This window comes from Homo sapiens, chromosome 20 (genome assembly GCF_000001405.40).
Source record: "Homo sapiens chromosome 20, GRCh38.p14 Primary Assembly".
Taxonomy (NCBI): domain Eukaryota; kingdom Metazoa; phylum Chordata; class Mammalia; order Primates; family Hominidae; genus Homo; species Homo sapiens.
The window spans coordinates 4511373-4530782 of NC_000020.11; the positions used below are offsets into that span (position 1 = coordinate 4511373).

The following is a 19410-nucleotide window of genomic DNA, read 5'->3' on the forward strand; positions in this document are numbered from 1 at the left end:
ATGGAGCAGTTGTGTTTTATTTTTCATTTCTGAGGAGTAGTATGTAGTAGTATGAATATATCCCAACAAGTTAATCTAGTCTACTATTGATGGCATTTGGTTTGTTTCCAGTTTGAGGTACTATGTAAAATGCTAGTATAGACATTTTCGTAGATACATTTTGGTGAAAATAGGCACTCAGCCCATATAGCCAGGAATCATAATGTAGTTATGTTTAACTTTATAAGAAACTATAATACAATTTTTTGAAGTGTTTGTATCAAGTTTTAATCTCAACAGAAATATATGACAATTCTAATTGCTCTACATTCTTGCCAACCTTTGGTATTTTCAGACTTTTTTCTTTTAGAAGTACATTGTATTATAGTTTTATTTTGTATTTCCTTTTAAAATTTTAAAAAAATGTTTGCTAAATTAGTCAGAATTCATATTAAAAATGAAACAACTGAATTAATGTTGTTGTTTTTAAAACTTCACACTCCTGGATTTGTAAAGCAGTGCTTGATGGATTGAATGAGATCATCTATTACTCAGGTTTGCAAAAACATAGCAATTACAGTAATGAACTCCAGTCATCATTAGCATTTCCATTACTAAGGGACCCTTTCAAAACTTCAGTCTCCTCTTAGTAGCTAGAGCTTTGGAAACCTCATGGGGTTTGTTTTCCCACCATCTATACTACGGACAAAGGACTTCTCTGCAGGGCCACTTAAAAATATAGATTCTTAAAAGGCTCAATATGGTAAGAAGGATTGTAAGTGAATGGCCCAATTAATTCCTGCTAAAGATTTCTCATAGGAAATCTTTGTTCAATTTTGAAAAATCATTTATTTGACTTTGGAGTGATCATTTAATATATACATGTCCTATGTTGAAGGCAAAGAATGATCTTTAATTTTGAACAGTTACTTGTTTCACAAATTTGTGCCTTATTATTTAAATGATTTGAATTCTTCCTGAGAAGGGACTATGTCTACTTGTACACTTGTATACAGACCAATATAACAACTGAGCCAGGGTCTGGAACGTAGTAGGAGCTCAATAAAACTGTTAAATGAATGAGTTAAAACTGTTCCTTCTCATGTATATACAGTACCTAACACAAATCTCTGCAAATGACAGCCAACCCAGAAATGTTTGTGAAAAGAAAGTAGAAAAGCTGTAAAGAAAGATTAAATGAGTGGAAGGGAAGAAAAGAGAATTAATCCTGGCAAAACTCTCTTTATATCAGCAAGACCTTTTTTATTTTCATAATACACACTCTGCACAACAACCACCCAGGTATCTACTTGAATGTCCTGCAGACTCCTCAGTTCAACATGTCCATAACTGAACTCACCATAACACTGATTTTTAACCCAACCTTCAAGACCTCCTCCTACTGTATATCCTCTTCGTTAATACTACCACAAGCCAACACTGTTCCCCAAGCCAGAAACTAAGAGTAACCCTCCGCTCTTCTCTCTTCCTCACCAACCTATTCATTCATAAATTAGTTCACTCAATAAATATTCATTAAGAGCCTTTTATACACCTGACTTTGTTCTTCAAGTTGAGGACATGCATTTTGGACATCTCACCCTGAGAAGAACTTTTCTTATTTAAGAACCCAACTATTATAATCTTGATTCACTAGGCACCAACCTATCATGTGAGGCATGTTCCAGACTCGAGAACAAAGGCTGAGAACTTCATTGCACGGCTTAATTTTCCATTCATAAAGGATGAGTCAAGGATGACTCACCTGATAACTATTTCTATTAAGTTGCCATGTCTAGCTGAGAGAAATATCTCCATTCACAAAATTCTTCCCTCTTCTTTCTTACCACTGCAGTAGAGAGACAATATGTATTTAATCAGGTGTCTCAATTGTGTGAAACTCAACAACTCAAGTAGAGATGGAGTTTGGCATGGATCAAGAGGATTTGTGATGCCTGGGGGTAGGTCATTCGCATATATGCATGAAGTCATGGAACACATTGACCCAGCTGAAGGATGGGAGAATGTACCTTAGACCCAGAAATTTTACTTTCTGGCAATGTCAATGTCAAACTCTAGACAATGGAAATGGTAACAGAATGAGATATCACAAAGTATTCAGCTTTATAAGCATTTTATGAGAGGTTATTATGGACAAAGCAAACACAGACACTCATTAGGTTAGAAATGTCTAACTCTCCAAAGACTTATACATGTAAAATTTAATTTTGATTCATCCCCCAACTTCCTCTGACCACTCTGAAATCCCCCATCCCCCCACACTCTCATGCCTTTCCTCCAGCTTCAGACAGCAACCAAGAAGGAAACTGGTACAAATATCTGTCTGACCTGATATTTATTTCTAAATATTCCCTTTTCCATTGCCTTTCCCCATTCATGGTAGGGAATTTCACATCAAACAAGACATTTCTCCATTTGTAAATCCATCATTACACATGTCCTCATCCTCCTTTTTCTCTTATTTTTTCTTCCTCCCTTTTCCTCTCTTACTCTCTCTCCCAGTTCCTGTGGTCTGAATGTGAGCCAAAAACAACCTTAATCAAGGTTAAGATGAGTAATGCTTGGGCTACACTTCAAGAAAAATCAAAGTGTTTCATGACATCTACTGATGTCCAGAGATTGTAAAATTCTTTATCAACTTTCTTCTCCTCCTCTAATACATTTTCTTGTTATCAACCATCAATATTCAAGATGCCCCAGAAATGCCTTTATCATATTCAATACTAACATTTGGTATACTATTTATGAATATTGAAACTTTATATTTTTATTGTGAATATACAACATTTCAGCCACATTGAGTGATATAGGCTTTTATGGGGACACAAACACCATTAAGAATATTATTACTAAGAAAAGTGTCAATGACAGTGTCCAACCATCAAACCCAAAACATCTTTGGAAATCCAGTCTGCAAATTGGGACTTCCAGATTTGGAAGTGTCTTTGTTTCCTAGGTCTACAGGTTTCTGTAGTTTTCATACACAAGTCACTAACCAGGTATTGGGAGAAGAAGCACTGACACCTTCATAGGTGGCAAGTCTATGCAGATATTGTGCCTGTGAGTGTGTGTGCATGTAGGAAGAGATGAGGGTGCTGAAGAGATGGTTACTTTCTGTCCCCCAAACCCATCTCCTTGGCCACATAGGAGTGGGTATGTTGGAGATATTCTTCAAGCTGGTCCAACAGAGCCCCAAAGGCAGAAGGAGACCAGCTGTTGGGGAGGGAAGTCCTCCTGTCCAGAGGCTCCCAACAGCATGGAATGCCAATATGACAGCCAAGGTGGGGTTCCTCCAGGGGAGAGCTGGGTAACAGAATAGGCTCCACCAGATTTTCAGTTCCCCAGATTCCCACAGCCAAGGTTATGCATTTCCGGTCCCTGAGCTGGGACATGTTGGAAATCAAAGCCCATGTACTTTTTATGATCTTCTGGACCAAAGGTTCTTCTGATTCAACCAACTCTTTTGTAATCACTCATTTACCTTAATCTCTTCTCGGTTTACAGCCAAATCACACCATTTACTTGTAAGAAACATCTTTCTGTAATCATACTTAGCTCTCCCTATTTTTCTCTCTTTCCCTTTCTACTTCCAGTAGGAACCTTAGGCACCAGGTAGGCCCTACATTGGCACTATATCCCTATTTATAGATGAAGAAATTGAAGAGTATAGAGTTTAAATAACTGGTTTCACAGGTAATAAGCATTGTAGTGAGATTTGAATCTAAGTCTGCTGACTCCAGAGCGGAGCTCTTAACTATCATGTTACATAACCTCTCCAACAAGGAAAGAGAACAGTGCTATAATCATAGCATGTACCTTATAGGGTCATTGAGGGGATTAAATTAAATAATTTAGGTTCAGTATGTGGCACATAGTTAGATGTAACAAATGTTGGAGATAGTGTGATAATGAACATGATAATGACAATGATGAGAAAGGAGGATGAGGAGGAAGAGGAGGACAAGTATAAGGAGGAAGAGAAACAATAAGTTTCACCTGTCTGCTTCTGTTAATAGTGATCCCCATGTGCTTATCATGGAAGGTAGGTAGTCTTCATGGTGGGAGGGAGCAGAGTTAGAAGGCGATTGGAGAATGCATTATAATTTGGAGAAAATCTTGGCCTATATAGAATTTGAAGAAGAGTTTACCTTTTGAGCTTGTGGGTGACACATTGCTTACCTCCTTGCTTCCAATAGGCATGTGAATGTTTTATTTATTCCCCCAAGACTGCAAGTGGACTGATCTTGGGTCCATTTCCTTATCCTGGAAGTCATGCAAGTGATTACAGAGGATGGTGAGATGTGAAAGCGGAGGAGGCTGGGAAGACCTGGGGACAGTGCTCTGATACTGATAACGGGTCTTCTCCTCATCCAGATCTTAATCTTAGACAGTCTTGAGGCTAATTGGCTGTGTTCTAAATGCCATTCTGTTGATCCCAAACATTAGGGTGTACAAGGGGTCTGTCCCCACTGTTGGACCCCTCTCCAAGGGAATGATAGGGCTGGAGTTTAGGGGAAGCCAATCTAGCCATCAGAAGACAACTAATCAAATGTGCTGAGCTCTGTGTTGGAGAGGAGTTATTGGATATTAATTACCAGAGGCCTCCTGACGCTGTGTTGGAGAATGCAAATCTAAGCCAAAAGCAAATGTCAACATGCTCATGGGTGCCTGTGATGGCTGGAGAGAGAGGTCCACCATATGAACAGAAGAGGGGCCTAGAGAAGGAGAGCCATGCATGGGCAAGACCTTTAATGCTAGGGATTCTGACCCACGAGTAGATATGGCCTTATCATGTCTGCAAGCTCAGCAGTGAAATTAAGCAACTGTACTTTTATTTTTTATTTTTTTGTGATGGAGTATTGCTCTGGCCCCCAGGCTGAAGTGGAGTGCAGTAGTGTTATACAGCTCACTCCAGCCTCTACTTTCTGGGCTCAGGCGATCTTCCCAAGTCAGCCTCCTGAGTAGCTGGGACCACAGGTGCATGCCACCATGCCAGGCTAATTTTTGTATTTTTTGTAGAGATGGGATTTCACCATGTTGCCCAGGCTGGTCTCAAACTCCTGGACTCAAGTGATTGTCCTGCCTCAGCCTCCCAAAGTGCTGGGATTACAGGCATGAGCCACCACACCTGGCCATCTTTGTCTTTGATAATGGACAGACACTAGTAAGGAGTGGGCAAAACCCAGCCAGAATAAAGACAGAGCAAAAGGAATATCTCCCTCTTCACAGGACACATCTCTTGGTACCTCTAATTCTTCATTTATACAATGAAGATTTTATTTTATAAGCACTAACACAATACTGGGCACTGTTCTGCACATTTTAGTCCTCATTTGCCCCAAGAGGTAGGGGCTATTATCCCAATTTTGCTGATGAGGAGTCTAATGAGGTATAGATAAAGTAACTGGCCCAAGGTCACAGTCGCCAATTCTTAAATCAACTTTATATATATATATATATGTGGAGAGAGACAGCGAGAGAGAGAGAGTAATATTTATATATCACATATAATGAAGGAAGGTTCTTGAACCTTTAAAAGATGCTTATGCCAAACACACACATAACCATAGAACTTTCCTGGTAAAATGTTTTTACTTTTGCTAACACTACTTCCTTCTACCTTTTCAGCAACCCACATGGCCAACACACATGTGACTCACTGCAATGTTGCATGAACACAACACAATCAAATGACCATTTTTTTCTGGGCACTGTGAGTCTGTATTTGCCTCCCTAACACTTGGCACAGTTTGACATTGCTTAGCAACGTGTTCCCCCTACTATCCTGGCTGTCATTGTTCTGACCCCAGCTTGAAGGGGTAGGCATTCCACCACCTGCCCCCACCTCCTGTCCAGTCTTCTGCCCATGCCACCAGGTCCTGGTCAGATGGCATCTCAGGAAAGGAAGAGATTTGTGTGGGATGGGCAGGTCTTCTTGATCTCCTTTGAGGAAGCTGGGCTTTGGCTGGATTTTGAAATAGGTGTAGGATTAAGGCAAGTACAAATTCTACGAGAGGGTTAATCCTAATTTTGGAAATGGTAAGAAAGGACATAGTGGAAACAAGTCTAGGGAGACAGAGGATCCTTCTACAGATCTAGGGGGGAAAGTGTGGCTGGACTGGAAATCAACAGGCCGAGGGAAGGACAGGAGGGAAGCTAAAACCCTGAACATACCGGCCCCTCAACACAGCAGGAAATGGGGGAGAAGGGCATTCACCTATGTCCCAGGACTGAAATGAGAGATAAGCCTGCTCCACTGTGAGACAAAGAGTAGGATTAAGGGGCCCCAAAGCCCTTACTCAGGCATTCCTAACTTCTTTTTTTTTTTTTTTTGAGATGGAGTCTAACTCTGTCGCCCAGGCTGGAGTGCAATGGCACCATCTTGGCTCACTGCAACCTCTGCCTCCCAGGTTCAAGCGATTCTCCTGCCTCAGCCTCCCAAGTAGCTGGGATTACAGGCGCCCGCCACCACGCCCAGCTAATTTTTATATTTTTAGTAGAGACGGGGTTTCACTGTGTTGACCAGGCTGGTCTTGAACTCCTGACCTCGTGATCCGCCTGCCTCGGCCTCCCAAAGTGCTGGGATTACAAGCGTGAGCCACAGTGCCCGGCCCCTAACTTCTTTTTATGCCGTGGACTCCTCTAGAAGTCTGGGGAAGTAAACTGACTCTATTTCAGAATGATGTTTTCAATAAGACAGTATAGGAATACAAAGGAAAACAATTAGGTTGAAATACAGTTATGAAAGCATTTTTTAAAAATATGTTTGCTTCCCTGTTAACCCATTAAATCAGTGCTTTTCAAACTATCTGTCGAAAAGGACGAATTTATTTTTCCAATCCATCTTGGACTGACAACTTTTATAAAATAAAAATATGAAATAAAAAAGAATGGGAAATACAAATCCCATTATTCTCAGACCCAAAGTATATTAAATTATTGTGTCAAATTGTTGTAAAAGTTTCTAAATCTTCCTCTCAATGCCTCTTCTTACTTGGTCATGAATCTGTAAGAGTTCATGGGCTGGCACCTCTTTGTGAACCATTCTCTGAGCAGCTCTCTATTCAATACAAGACCTAGCTCTAGGTCTAATAATGACTCTAATTTTGAAGTCGTGGTTAACATAAACAATCTGTCACTGACATGTGATATAAAAATATCTGTGAATTCCTTTGATGACAAAGTTACAGTTACTGCTAATTCCATTAAACTGTGTTAGCTACTTCCATAATAGAAGGAAATGCTAAAATTCAACCATAAATCCATAGAAATGAAGATGTAATTCTTTCCTGTCCAAGTCCACAGGCCCCCTAAAATTTTACTTCTAGACCCACATGGAGCTTTAGGTTAGGGGCCCCTGCCTTAGACAATGGAAGGGGCAGTGAAGACTAGAAAAGGAGGAAAATGACCCACACTATGGGGGAGGCTCTCCCCAAAACTTCAGCCTTTTTGCATCTGGGGTCACAGATTTATAGGGTTAGCATGATGGTTCTGACCAGGGGAGGAAAAACCCTGCACATGGGGTAGCTTAGGCCCTGGCTTGAGGTAAGGGGGAGCTCAGCACATTCGAGCTGGATTCTATTGGAAACCAGAAGCCCAGGCAGGAAAGGTAAGATAAGTGGCAGCCACCGGGGCAGGCGGAGAAGCCGACAACCTGAACAAGGCTTGCCAGCTGTCTTGGCCCCTGCAGCTCAGAGAGACATGGTGGCCTGAGTTGCCTGTGGGGGGTCTAATGGAGACCCCTATTATTTTCAGAATTGTATTTTTCACCATTATGCTCATCCAGGCTCAGAACCATCTCTCCTCACTCATGGACCCCATCATTGAAGGTTACCTTGTGCCAAACATGGAGGTAAACATGCATCTTCTAGTTCAATCCTAAAAGCCACCCTGTAGAATATGTGTTCTCATCATTCCCACTTTACAAGTAGGGAAGAGGTTGAAGAGCACACTGCTAACTGGACAGTAAGCAGCATTGCTGGGACTTCCATTGGGACCCTCTGAAGGCAGAGCATGAGAGGACTGTGCGCCCCTTACATGCCAAATCCTCTGTTCACTCGGAGCACTGCAGGCAAGTTCTGCTAAGCACACTCAGGGGAATTAGATCTCCTGGTTGGGAAGTGCAAGGAAAAAAATAGCCCTTCCCTTTTGACATTTCTTGTATAGTCTGCATTTTACAACAGCACACATTTTGTTTTACTTTATTTAAGGAATACATATCTACATGATGCCAACAACATGAGATGGCTGGCTGCGGGATGGCTGGTGTTGGCATCCAGGTCCCCACTGGGCACTGGAATGTTTCCAAGGGCACCTAAGGGCTTGATGTAGTTCAAGATTCTGCAATTGGGGCCAACAGTGCCTCCTAGAGGGCTTGGGGCTACACTGCTTTTCCCAGGGTCAGGCTTTGGCGGCAGTTGAGGTGGGTAGGGTTTTGTTTCACAGAAAATGGGGCAGCACCTGGAAGCAGCCACCACAAAGCCAGAGAACACCAGAGGCAACCAAGACTTAATTCATCCAGCAGGTTGGCAGGTAGCTCATGGGCTACCTTGATTAGCTACCATAAGTAAAGAGAAGAAAGAAATGCCCAAGGGCTGTCCCAGAGCCATGTTGGAGAGTGCTTTAGGACCTTGTCCTTCAGGCTTTCCTTGGGTCCTAAGGATCAAGGGACAAGGTTAAGGCTAAATATCCTCAGTCATCAAAACTGAGACAGTCACTGCCTGTGTGATGCTCACACTGTGTGATGCTCCACATTTGCAGGTGGGGACTGTTGAGAGGATCAAAGTGAAAGCATTTTGTCTTCATGGTTAGGTCTGATTATTATTGTCAATATATAAAGCACAGCCTGTTTTCTAGGCTCTGTCTCTTTCTTTTCTCACTGACTATCAGGAATAGGAATAGGCATGGTTGGTCCCTATAAAGGTTTACAGGTTCCTTATTTTAAGGTACAGCAGTGGGAGCCCACATAGCTACAAAGGCTCAATTTCAAAGGAAGCTGCTGTCCACTCTCTGGGAAACCAGGGATTCTGTGGCAAAAAATTCTTAAAATAAAAGCTGAGAGGTGAGATTATGGACAAAGAACAGGAACAAGACAAGGATACCTGTTTTCATCACTGCTATTTAATGTTGTACCAAAAGTCCTAGCCAGAGCAAGTATTCAAGAAAAAGAAAAAAAATAAAAGATAGACATATTGGAAAAGAATAAATAAAACTATTTTTATTCACAGATGACATGATCCTATTATAGAAAACTCCAAAGAATCTGCAAGAAAAAAAGCTACTAGAGGTAATAAGCAAATTCTGAAAAGTTGCAAGGTACAACTTGCAACACCCCAAAATAATTTGTGTTTCAATAAACCAACAATGAACAATCTGGGAAGGAAATTAAGAAATCAATACCACTTATAATAGTATCCAAAAGAATAAGATGCCTAAGAATAAATTTAATCAAGGAGGTGAATGACCTGTACAATGAAAGCAATAAAACATTGCTGAAAGAAATCAAAGAAGACCTAAATATATGAAAAGACATCTTGTGTTCATGGATTGGAAAAGTTAATATTCTTTAGATGTCAATACTACCCAAAGATATGTACAGATTCAATGCAATCCCAATCAAAATCTCAATGGCCACTTTTTAAGAAATGAAAAAGTCAACAATCAAATTCATATGGAATTGCAAGAGGCTCTAAATAGCCAAAACAATCTTGAAATGGAAGAACAAAGTTGGAGGACTTACACTTCTCAATTTTGAAACCTACTACAAAATCTACAGTGATTTTTTTTTTTTTTTAAGTGTGGTACTGATAGCAGTGGTGGCCCACCTGGAGCGGCTGCTGGGAAGATGCTGGCTGCAGGAAAAGAGGCGTGGCCAGGGCTGCAGGCTCCACGGAGAGGGTGGGAGCCAGGAACAGGCCAGAGCCCTATCCCCTTCCAAGTTGGTGGCGTAGGAGCCCTGCCCTTCCGGGCACAGCTGCAACCGCCCAACCATGGCCGTGGACCTGGGCATCCCTCCACTCTCAGGGGCCCAGGAAGTCCCCCTCTGCCCCTACAGGCTTGGGAGTGCCTCTTTCCCCTGCTTGGCCTCTCCCTACTCCAGGCACCCACTCTGATTTCAAAGCAAAGTTGAGGCCGAGCCCAGGCACTGTCATGACCTGGCCGGGTGTGCATGCACTTGGGGCAGCACTAACATGCCAGACCCCTGCCACCTCAGCACCCTTCCGCCTCAGCCCCCTCTGAACTTTGGGTGGCCACAAGCACAAGAGTGAGGCCGAAGAGGGGTGCCAAGCGTGGCTCAATGCAGGCCTGCAGGCACTCCTCAGAACAAACAGCTCAGGCACCGTGGATGGCATGATCAATGGCAGCAGGAGGCAGACAGACTCCTGAGCAGAAAGGGGCTGGTCCCCATGAAGCCCCGTCCTCAAGCCAGGGATGGCCTGAAATTTGAGGGGTGGGCTGTCAGTTCTGGGTGGAGTCCCAACCTGGAGAAGTTACGGTTTTTCTGGGCCCACCCATGGCTGCCCATGGACCAGTCAGCACACACGTCCCCACTTCTGAAGCCCATAAACACCTCAAGACTCAGCCAGACTCACAGAGACATCGGGGATGACCAACTGTGGGCAGGAGATACCAATTCAGGTCTCCTGAGAGCTGTTCTGGTGCTCAGTGAAGTTCCTCTCTGCCTTGCTCACCCTCTAGTTGTCCTCGTACTTCATTCTTCCTGGACACAGGACAAGAACTCAGTACCCACCAAATGGTGGGACTGAAAGAGCTGTAACACAACAGGGCTGAAACACGTCCCTCACTCACCACGTTCGTTGTGTACATTGAGAAGGAGAGAAGAGCTACAGCCCTTCTTGGGAGCCCAAACCTAGGGGATCCCCAAGCCAGGGCTATGACACCTTCTTTGGGGCTCTGCAGTTCCTGGCATCTCCAAGCTTCTGGGAGCCACCACATTCCCTTCATCCAGATGAAGGTGCCCACGTGAAAGCCACATGTAGTACATCTGGTCCAGCTGCAGCCTTGTACAGAGCTGGCACCTGTAGCTGCCTGCCCCACTGCAGCAGCTGGCATGCCTGGCTGTGTGCAGTGGCTGGACCCCGCGCTCGCTCCCTCACACACCCCTCGCCACTCTATGCCTAGCTTGTCCTTGGCAGGTGTGGGATCTGGGCTGGTAGCACAAGCTAAGCACAGTCTGCTGGGCCATGTGGGCAGAACAAGCCCAGCGGGCACGAGCAATACTCAGGCAGAAGGCCCCACTGGCCACAGAGGTTTCCAGCTGGTGAAATGACAACCCAAGGATCCCGTGACAGTATTGGCATAAGAATAAACATATAGACCAATGAAATAGAACAGATAACCCAGATATTATATAAACCCTTGCATATACACTCAATTTTCAACAAGAATGCCAAGACCATTTATGGGGAAAAAGCAGTCTTTTCAACAAATGATGTTGGGAAAACTAGTATCCATATGCAAAAGAATGAAATTGGATCCTTACCTTATATAATACACAAAAATTAAATCAAAATGGAAAAAAGATATAAAGTTAAAGGCTAAAATGATAAAACTCTTAGAGGAATATACAGAGGTAAATCTTGGTGACCTTGGATTTGGCAATAGACACTTAGATCTGACACAAAAAGCACAAGCAACAAAATAAAAAATAGTTGAATTGGACTTCATCAAAATTACAAACTTTTGCACATCAAAGAACATTATGAAAAAGTGAAAAGACAACTATAGAATGGCAGAAAATATTTTATTTTATTTTATTTTTTATTTTATTTTATTATTATTATACTTTAAGTTTTAGGGTACACGTGCACAATGTGCAGGTTTGTTACATATGTATACAGGTGCCATGTTGGTCTGCTGCACCCATTAACTCGTCATTTAGCATTAGGTATATCTCCTAATGCTATCCCTCCCCCCTCCCCCCACCCCACAACAGTCTCCGGAGTGTGATGTTCCCCTTCCTGTGTCCATGTGTTCTCATTGTTCAATTCCCACCTATGAGTGAGAACATGCAGTGTTTGGTTTTTTGTCCTTGCAATAGTTTGCTGAGAATGATGGTTTGCAGTTTCATCCATGTCCCTAGAAAGGACATGAACTCATAATTTTTTATGGCTGTGCAGAAAATATTTTGCAAATTATATATCCAATAAAGGTCTAGTGTCCAGAATATATAAAGAATTCTTACAACTCAAGAACAAAAGAAAACAAACCAACTTAAAAATGGGCAAAGGACTTGAATAGACATTTTCCCAAAGAAGATATATGAATGTCCAAGAAACACATGAAAAGATGCTTAGCATAATTAGTTATTAGGGAAATCCAAATCAAACCCTCAATGAGCTTTATATCCACTATGATGGCTATAATCAAAAAACAAAAAGTGGAACATGTACATTGTTAGTGGAAATTAAAAATGGTTGAACAACTGAGGAAAACAATTTGGTAATTCTTCAAAAAGTTAAACATAGAATTACCACATGACCCCACAATTACACTACTAGATATATACACCAAAATACTGAAAACAGGTACTCCAACAAGTTCATGTACACACATATCCATGACAGCACAATAGCCGAAAGATGGAAACAGCACAAACCCCCATCAATAGATAAATAAATAACAAGTTGATATATATACGTAAATGGAATATTATTCAGCCATAAAAAGGGATGAAGTATTGATATATGCTACAATGTGGATGAACCTCCAAAACATTATGCTAAGTGTAAGAAGTCAGGCACGTAAGATCACATATTGCATGATTCCATTCATATGAAATATCCAGAAGAGATAAACTCATAGAGACAGGACACAAATTAGTGGATTTTGGGGACCATAGGGAGGAAATCATGGGGAGAAACAACTTATTGGGTAAGAGGTTTTACTTTGGAGTGATGGAAATGTTTCAAACTAGGCAAAGGTGGTAGTTGCATAATATCATGAATAAACTAACTGCCGCTAAATTGTTCACTTTAAAATGGTTAATTTTATGCTGTATAAATTTCACCTCAATAAATTATCTTAAAACAGAAAAAGCAAGAGCTAAGGATTTGGGATTGTTGAACCATTGCCTCCTGTGGTGTAGTATATAATACGTAACAATTTTTTAATCCACAAAACAATACCTAGTGGCAGGTCAGAGAACTTCCCTGATTTTAAAATAGTGATGAGCATAAACAATATTTTGGGACAGCTGTAAGAACCATAATACAATGAAGGACCTGTAATTTCTACTGGTAGCAAAGTCACAGGTACTGTTAACAGTTGCTTACGTTCACACTAAAAGGAAACACTGAATCTTAAATTATAGGTTAATGGAAATTAAAATTGAGAAAAAATTTTTTATTTTCCTAGATTATGAGCCTCTAGGCTAGAAACCCTTGTTCTAGGGTGGTAAAAATTGGACAAAGATGACAGGAACTCACTACAGGTAACTGTAGTAACTGCTGTTCCCAACTGGGACTGACCTCTTAAATCAGGGGTCAGTGAACTACAGTCCCCAGGCCAAATCCAGCCCACCAGCTATTTTTTCAAATAACATGGTTTTGGAATGCAGCTGTGCCTTCTGATTTACATATTGTCCATGACTACTTTCACACTCTAACAGCACAGTTGAGTAGTTGAAACAGAAACCATATGGCCTACAAACCTAAAATATTTACTATCTGGTTCTTTCAGAAAATACGGTTGCTGATCCCTGCCTTCAAGGAATGCTGGCCAGTTTTCTGGAGACTCCCAGCCTCTCAGCTGAGACCACAGGTAGTTGGTCAGACTCTATACTGCAGGAGGTACCCTGTGCACATGAGTAAGTAGCTTTGACATCTAATATGCCTCTAATTGGAAATGGCAAATGTTCACTAATACAAAAAAATTAAAATTAAAAATTTATCTTTCACAAGCCCAAGCAAAACAGAGTAAATGTACTCCAATGTGTCCCTGCCACTAAGTACAACTGTCAAACCTAGACAGAATTCTTGGAGCAACTATTTGAGGACTCTGAAAAGCAAATAGCAGCAGGCAGATGGGGAAGATCAGTATTTGAGGTGTGCATTAGTGCCAACAGAGAGAGATCCAGGAAAAATCTCCTAGTTCTTGATAAAGGAGTGGGACATATCTCCCAATGCTTAGACAGAGTAGGGAAATTCCTTGCTGTTATTGTTTCTTTTCTCCATTCTCTCACACCCAATAATCTAATTGTGGTGGTGGCCATGACAATAATGGCAGTGGGGCTGCAAAGGAACCTAAAACTCTAAGGAAGCGTGTACTAGAGTTCTTCAGAGACACCGAACCAATAAGAGATAGATAGATAGATAGATAGATAGATAGATAGATAGATAGATAGATAGATAGATAGAGATTTATTATAGGAATTGATTCATGTGGTTATGGAGGCTGTCCTCTGATACATCATCTGCAAGCCGGAGAACCAGAAAAGCCAGAAGTGTAATTCAGTCTGTGTCCTCAGGCCTGAGAACCAGGGGGAACTGACAGTGTAACTCCCAATCTGAGATCCAAAACCTGAGAACCAGGGGGCTTGGGATGAGTTGCTGGTGGTAAGTCCCAGATTCCAACCCAAGAACTAAAAGCTCTGACACTTGGGCTTAGACCTGCTATGATAGGATTAACGTCACTATAAGAGGAAGAAACACCATGTTTCTTCTCCATGTGAGAATACAGCAAGAAGGCAGCCAGAAATACTGCCAGAAATATGGCAAGAGGGCAGTCAAAAGGCAAGCCACAGAAGGCCCTCACCAGGACCTGACCATGCTGGCACCCTGGTCTTGGACTTCCAATCCTTTAGAATTATGAGAAGTAAATGTGTTTAGGTCACCCAGTGTATGGCACTTTGTTCTAGCATCCCAAGCTGATGAAGGCAAGGCATTTCACCAAAAAGGATATAAAGATTATCAAAAACCACATGAAAACATATTCAGCAGCATCAGTCATTGGTGTAATGCTAAATAAAACCACAATGAGATGCTACACACTTGTTATAATGTCTCCAATAAAAAATACTAACAATAACAAGTGTTGATGAGAATGTGGAGAAATTGGAACCTCATATGGGACAGCCACTCTGAAAAACAGTGTAGCATCTTCTTATAAAGTTAAACATACACTTACGATGTGATCCAGCAATCCCATTTGTAGGCATTTACTCTAGTGAAGTAAAAATTTATGTTCACACCAAAATCTGTATGGGAAGGTTTGAATCAGAGCTATATTCATAACTGCTAAAAATTGACAACAATCCAAATGTCTTTCAGTGGGTGAATGGATAAACAAACTGTGCTACGTCAATCAATGGAATACTACCTAGCAATTAAAAGGAACAAACAATTGATACATGCAACAATTTGAATGATTTTCAAAGGCATTTTGTTGAGTGAGAGAAGTCAGTTTTAAAAGGTTACATATTGTATAATTTTTAATTATGTGACATTCTTGAAGAGCTAAACATTAAAGTAACAGCATAGTTCAGTGGTTGTCAGGGGTTGACAGGGAGTCAGGTGTTACATCAATAGAATAGAAGGAGGGAGGTTTTTTGGTTTTTGTTTTTTTAAGTCATGCAAATGTCTGTATTCTGTTTGTTGTGGTAGTGGCAAGAATCTATATATGTATTAAGATTGACATTGCTTCTGAATCCCAAAAAGTCAATTTTAGTCTACGTTAATTAAAAAAATAAAATGTTAGTCTCCCTAGAAGTAATGTTTGCAAGATAGCAGAATAAAAGTTTCCAGGGCTCATTCTCTCACAGAAACATCAATGTGAACAACTATTCATGCATGAAAATACCTTCACAAGAACTAAGGAATCCAGATGAGAGATTATAGTACCTAGGTGGAGCATGGAAATAAAAAGAGACATATTGAAGAGAGTAGAAAGGATAGCTTCACCCATGTTACCCCTTCCCCAAACACAGGCAACACAGTGAGGAGAGAGATTCTCTCTGAGTTAGGGAAAGAGAGTGAGGTGAGCACCCAATTTCATCATGGACCTTAGCACCCGGCCCACTCCAGTAAATCCCAGCACAGGCTTGCCTCTGCAGGACAAGACTCCAGGCCTACCCCATGACCAAGCCAGCCCCTGCAACTCCAGGTTCCAGACCTGCCCTCACAAATTCAGGCACCAAGCCAGCCCCTGTAGACCCAAGCACCAGGCCAACCCACTGGAGGATTTCAGCAGCAAGCTTGCCAAAACTTCACCAGACAGGCTTCCTAGAATCTCTGGACAGGCTTACTGGTGAAGGAATTTCCCTGCTAAATCCAGTCTGCAAGAATGGAAGGGGTGCCTGCTTCTTCAAATACACAGACACCAATGCAAGGCCACAAGGATAAAGAATAATTGGAGAAACATGGCACTGTTAAGGAACTAAATAAGGCACCAGTAACAGACCCTAAAGAAATGCAGATCCACAACTGTCTGATGAAGAATTCAAAATAACTGTCTTAAAGAAGTTCAGTGAGCTGTAAGAGAACACGGATAGACAACTAGACCAAAAAAATCAGGAAAACAATACATGAACAAAATTGGAAATTTTACAAAGAGATATAAACCACAAAAAAGAACCAAACAGAAAATTTTGGAGTTGAACAGCACAATGATTAATCTGAAAAATTCAATAAAGGACTTCAACAGAAGATTCAATTAAGCAGAGGAAAAACAATCAGTGAGTCTGAAGACAGGTAATTTGAAATTCCCTAGTTAGAGAAACAAAAAGGAAACAGAATGAAAAAAAGTGAAGAAAGTCTACAGGACTTATGGGACACCATGAAGCAAACCAATATGATAATTCACATGATGAGGGTATCACAAGGAGCAGAGAAAGAGAAAAGGGGAGAAAGTTTATTTAAAAAAAAAACAGAAGAAAAAAACTAATAATAAATTGGAAATAAATGAAATATAGACTAGAAACACAATAGAAAAGATCAATAAAACTGAAAATAGTTTTTAAAAAAATAAACAAAATTGGCAAATTTTAGCTAGATTAACTTAAAAAAGAGAGAAGACTTAAAATCAGAAATGAAACCATAAATATTACAACTGATATAACAGAAATATGAAAGATTGTAAGAGACTGCAAAGAACAATTATACCCTAACAGATTGGATAACCTAGAAGAAATGAAGACATTTTTAGAAAAATACAAGCTGCCAAGACTAAATCATAAAGAAATAGAAAAATGAACAGATCAAAAATGATTAAAGAAATTGAAACCAAAAACCTCACAACAACAAATCCAGAAATATGTGGTTTCATTGATAAATTCTACCAAATCTTTAAAGAAGAATTAACTTCAGTTCTTCACAAAATCTTCCCAAAAATCGAAGAGGAGGAAACACTTCCAAACTTATTTTATGAGACCAGGATTACTCTAATATTAAAGTCAGACAAAAACACTATAAGAAAAGAAAACTACAGGTTAATATCCTTGATGAGCAGTAATGCAAAAATCCTCAACAAAATACTAGCAAACTAAATTCAATAGTACAGTAAAAAAGTCATATACCATGATCAAGTGATACCTCTAGGATTCAAGGATGGTTCAATATACACAAATTAATAAATGTGTTACACCATATTAATAGAAAGAAAAATAAAAATCACATGATTATCTCCATAGACACAGAAAAAGCACTGGACAAAATTCAACAACCTTTCATTATAAACACACTTAACAAACTAGGTATAGCAAGAATGTACTTCAACATAGTAAAGGCCATTTATGACAAACCCACAGCTGACATCATACTCAGTGGTGAATAGTTGAAAGATTTTCTTGTAAGCTCAGAAACAAGAAAAGGATGTCCACTCACATCACTTCTGTTCAATACAGTACTGGAAGTCCTAGACAGAGCAATTAGGCAAGAAAAAGAAATAAAAGGCAGCCAAATTGGAAAGGAAGAAGTAAAATGATCTCTGTTTAGAAATGATATGATCTTATATATAGAAAACGCTAAAGACTCCACAGAAAATGTTAGAACTAATAAAAAAACTCAGTAATGTTGTATGATACAAATCAACATAGAAAAATCAGTGACATTTCTATACACTAACAACAAACTATCAAAAAAAGAATTAAGAAAATAATCCCATTTATAATAGCATTAACAATACTTAGAAATAAATTTAACTGAAATGAAAGATCATCACCCCTGAAAACTATAAAACATTGATGAAATAACAGGAAGATAGCCCATATTCATGAACTGGAAGAATTAATAGTGTTAAAATGTGCATACTTACCCAAAGCATTCTGAAGATTTATTGCAATCTCTATCAAAATTTCAATGCTATTTTTTATTAAAATAGAAAAAACAATTCTAAAATTTGTATGGGACCACAAAAAAAACTTGAAAAGCCAAAGCAATCTTGAGCAAGAACAAAGCTGGAGGCATCAGACAAAATGTCCTATAAAGTTATGGTAGCCAAAACAGCATAGTATTGTAATAAAAGCATACATACAGATCAATGGAACAGAATAGAGAGCCCAGAAATAAATCCATGAATTTACAGTCAATTAATCTTTGACAAAAGTGCCGGGAATATACAGTGGGGAAAAGAAAGTCTCTTTAACAAATGGTGTTGGAAAAACTGGATATCATAATCAGAAATACTAATTTGCACCCTATCTTATACCATATACAAAAAATCACTCAAAATAAGTTTAATACCTGAAACTATAAGATTCCTAGAAGAAAACAAAAGAAAAGACATTGGTCTGGATGGTGACTTTGAGCACAGGCAACAAAAGTAAAAATAAACTAATGAAATGACATCAAACTGAAAAGCTTCTGTGCAGCAAAGAAAACAATTCCTAAAGTAAAGAGACAACTTGTGGAATGGGACAAAATATTTGCAAATCATATATCTGATAAGGGGTTAATATAAAAAATATATAAGGAACTCAAACAACTCAATAGCAAGAAAACAAACAGACATTTCTCTGAAGAAAACATACAAATAACCAACAGGTATATCAAAAAATGCTAAATTGCTGATCACCAGGGAAATACAAATCAAGACCACAAAGAGATAACACTTCATACCTGTTAAAATGGCTATTGTAAAAAAGACAAAAGCGAAGTGTTGATGAGGATGTGGAGAAAAAGGAACCCTCATGCACTGTTGGAGGAAATGTGCATTGGTACAGCCACTATGGAGAACTCTACGGTGGTTCCTTAATAAATTGAAAACAGAACTACTATATGATCCAGCAATCCCACTTCTGGGCATATATCCACAGGGAAATGAACTCAGTATCTCAAAGAGTTATCTGCAATGTTCCTTGCAACATTATGTACAACAGCCAAGATATGAAACCAACCTAAGTATCCATTGATGGAAAAATGAATTTTAAAAACTGTGGGGTAATTAATTATAGAT

General features: G+C 40.0%; 2 annotated features.

Annotated features, from left to right (window-relative positions):
• Window positions 9621–10122: an enhancer, noted in NCBI's record as "H3K4me1 hESC enhancer chr20:4501639-4502140 (GRCh37/hg19 assembly coordinates)". NCBI's record gives its function as "activates a minimal SCP1, AML or CMV promoter by ChIP-STARR-seq in primed H9 embryonic stem cells {active_cell/tissue: H9 hESC(primed)}" and the evidence as "EXISTENCE:reporter gene assay evidence [ECO:0000049][PMID:30033119]".
• Window positions 10123–10622: an enhancer, noted in NCBI's record as "H3K4me1 hESC enhancer chr20:4502141-4502640 (GRCh37/hg19 assembly coordinates)". NCBI's record gives its function as "activates a minimal SCP1, AML or CMV promoter by ChIP-STARR-seq in primed H9 embryonic stem cells {active_cell/tissue: H9 hESC(primed)}" and the evidence as "EXISTENCE:reporter gene assay evidence [ECO:0000049][PMID:30033119]".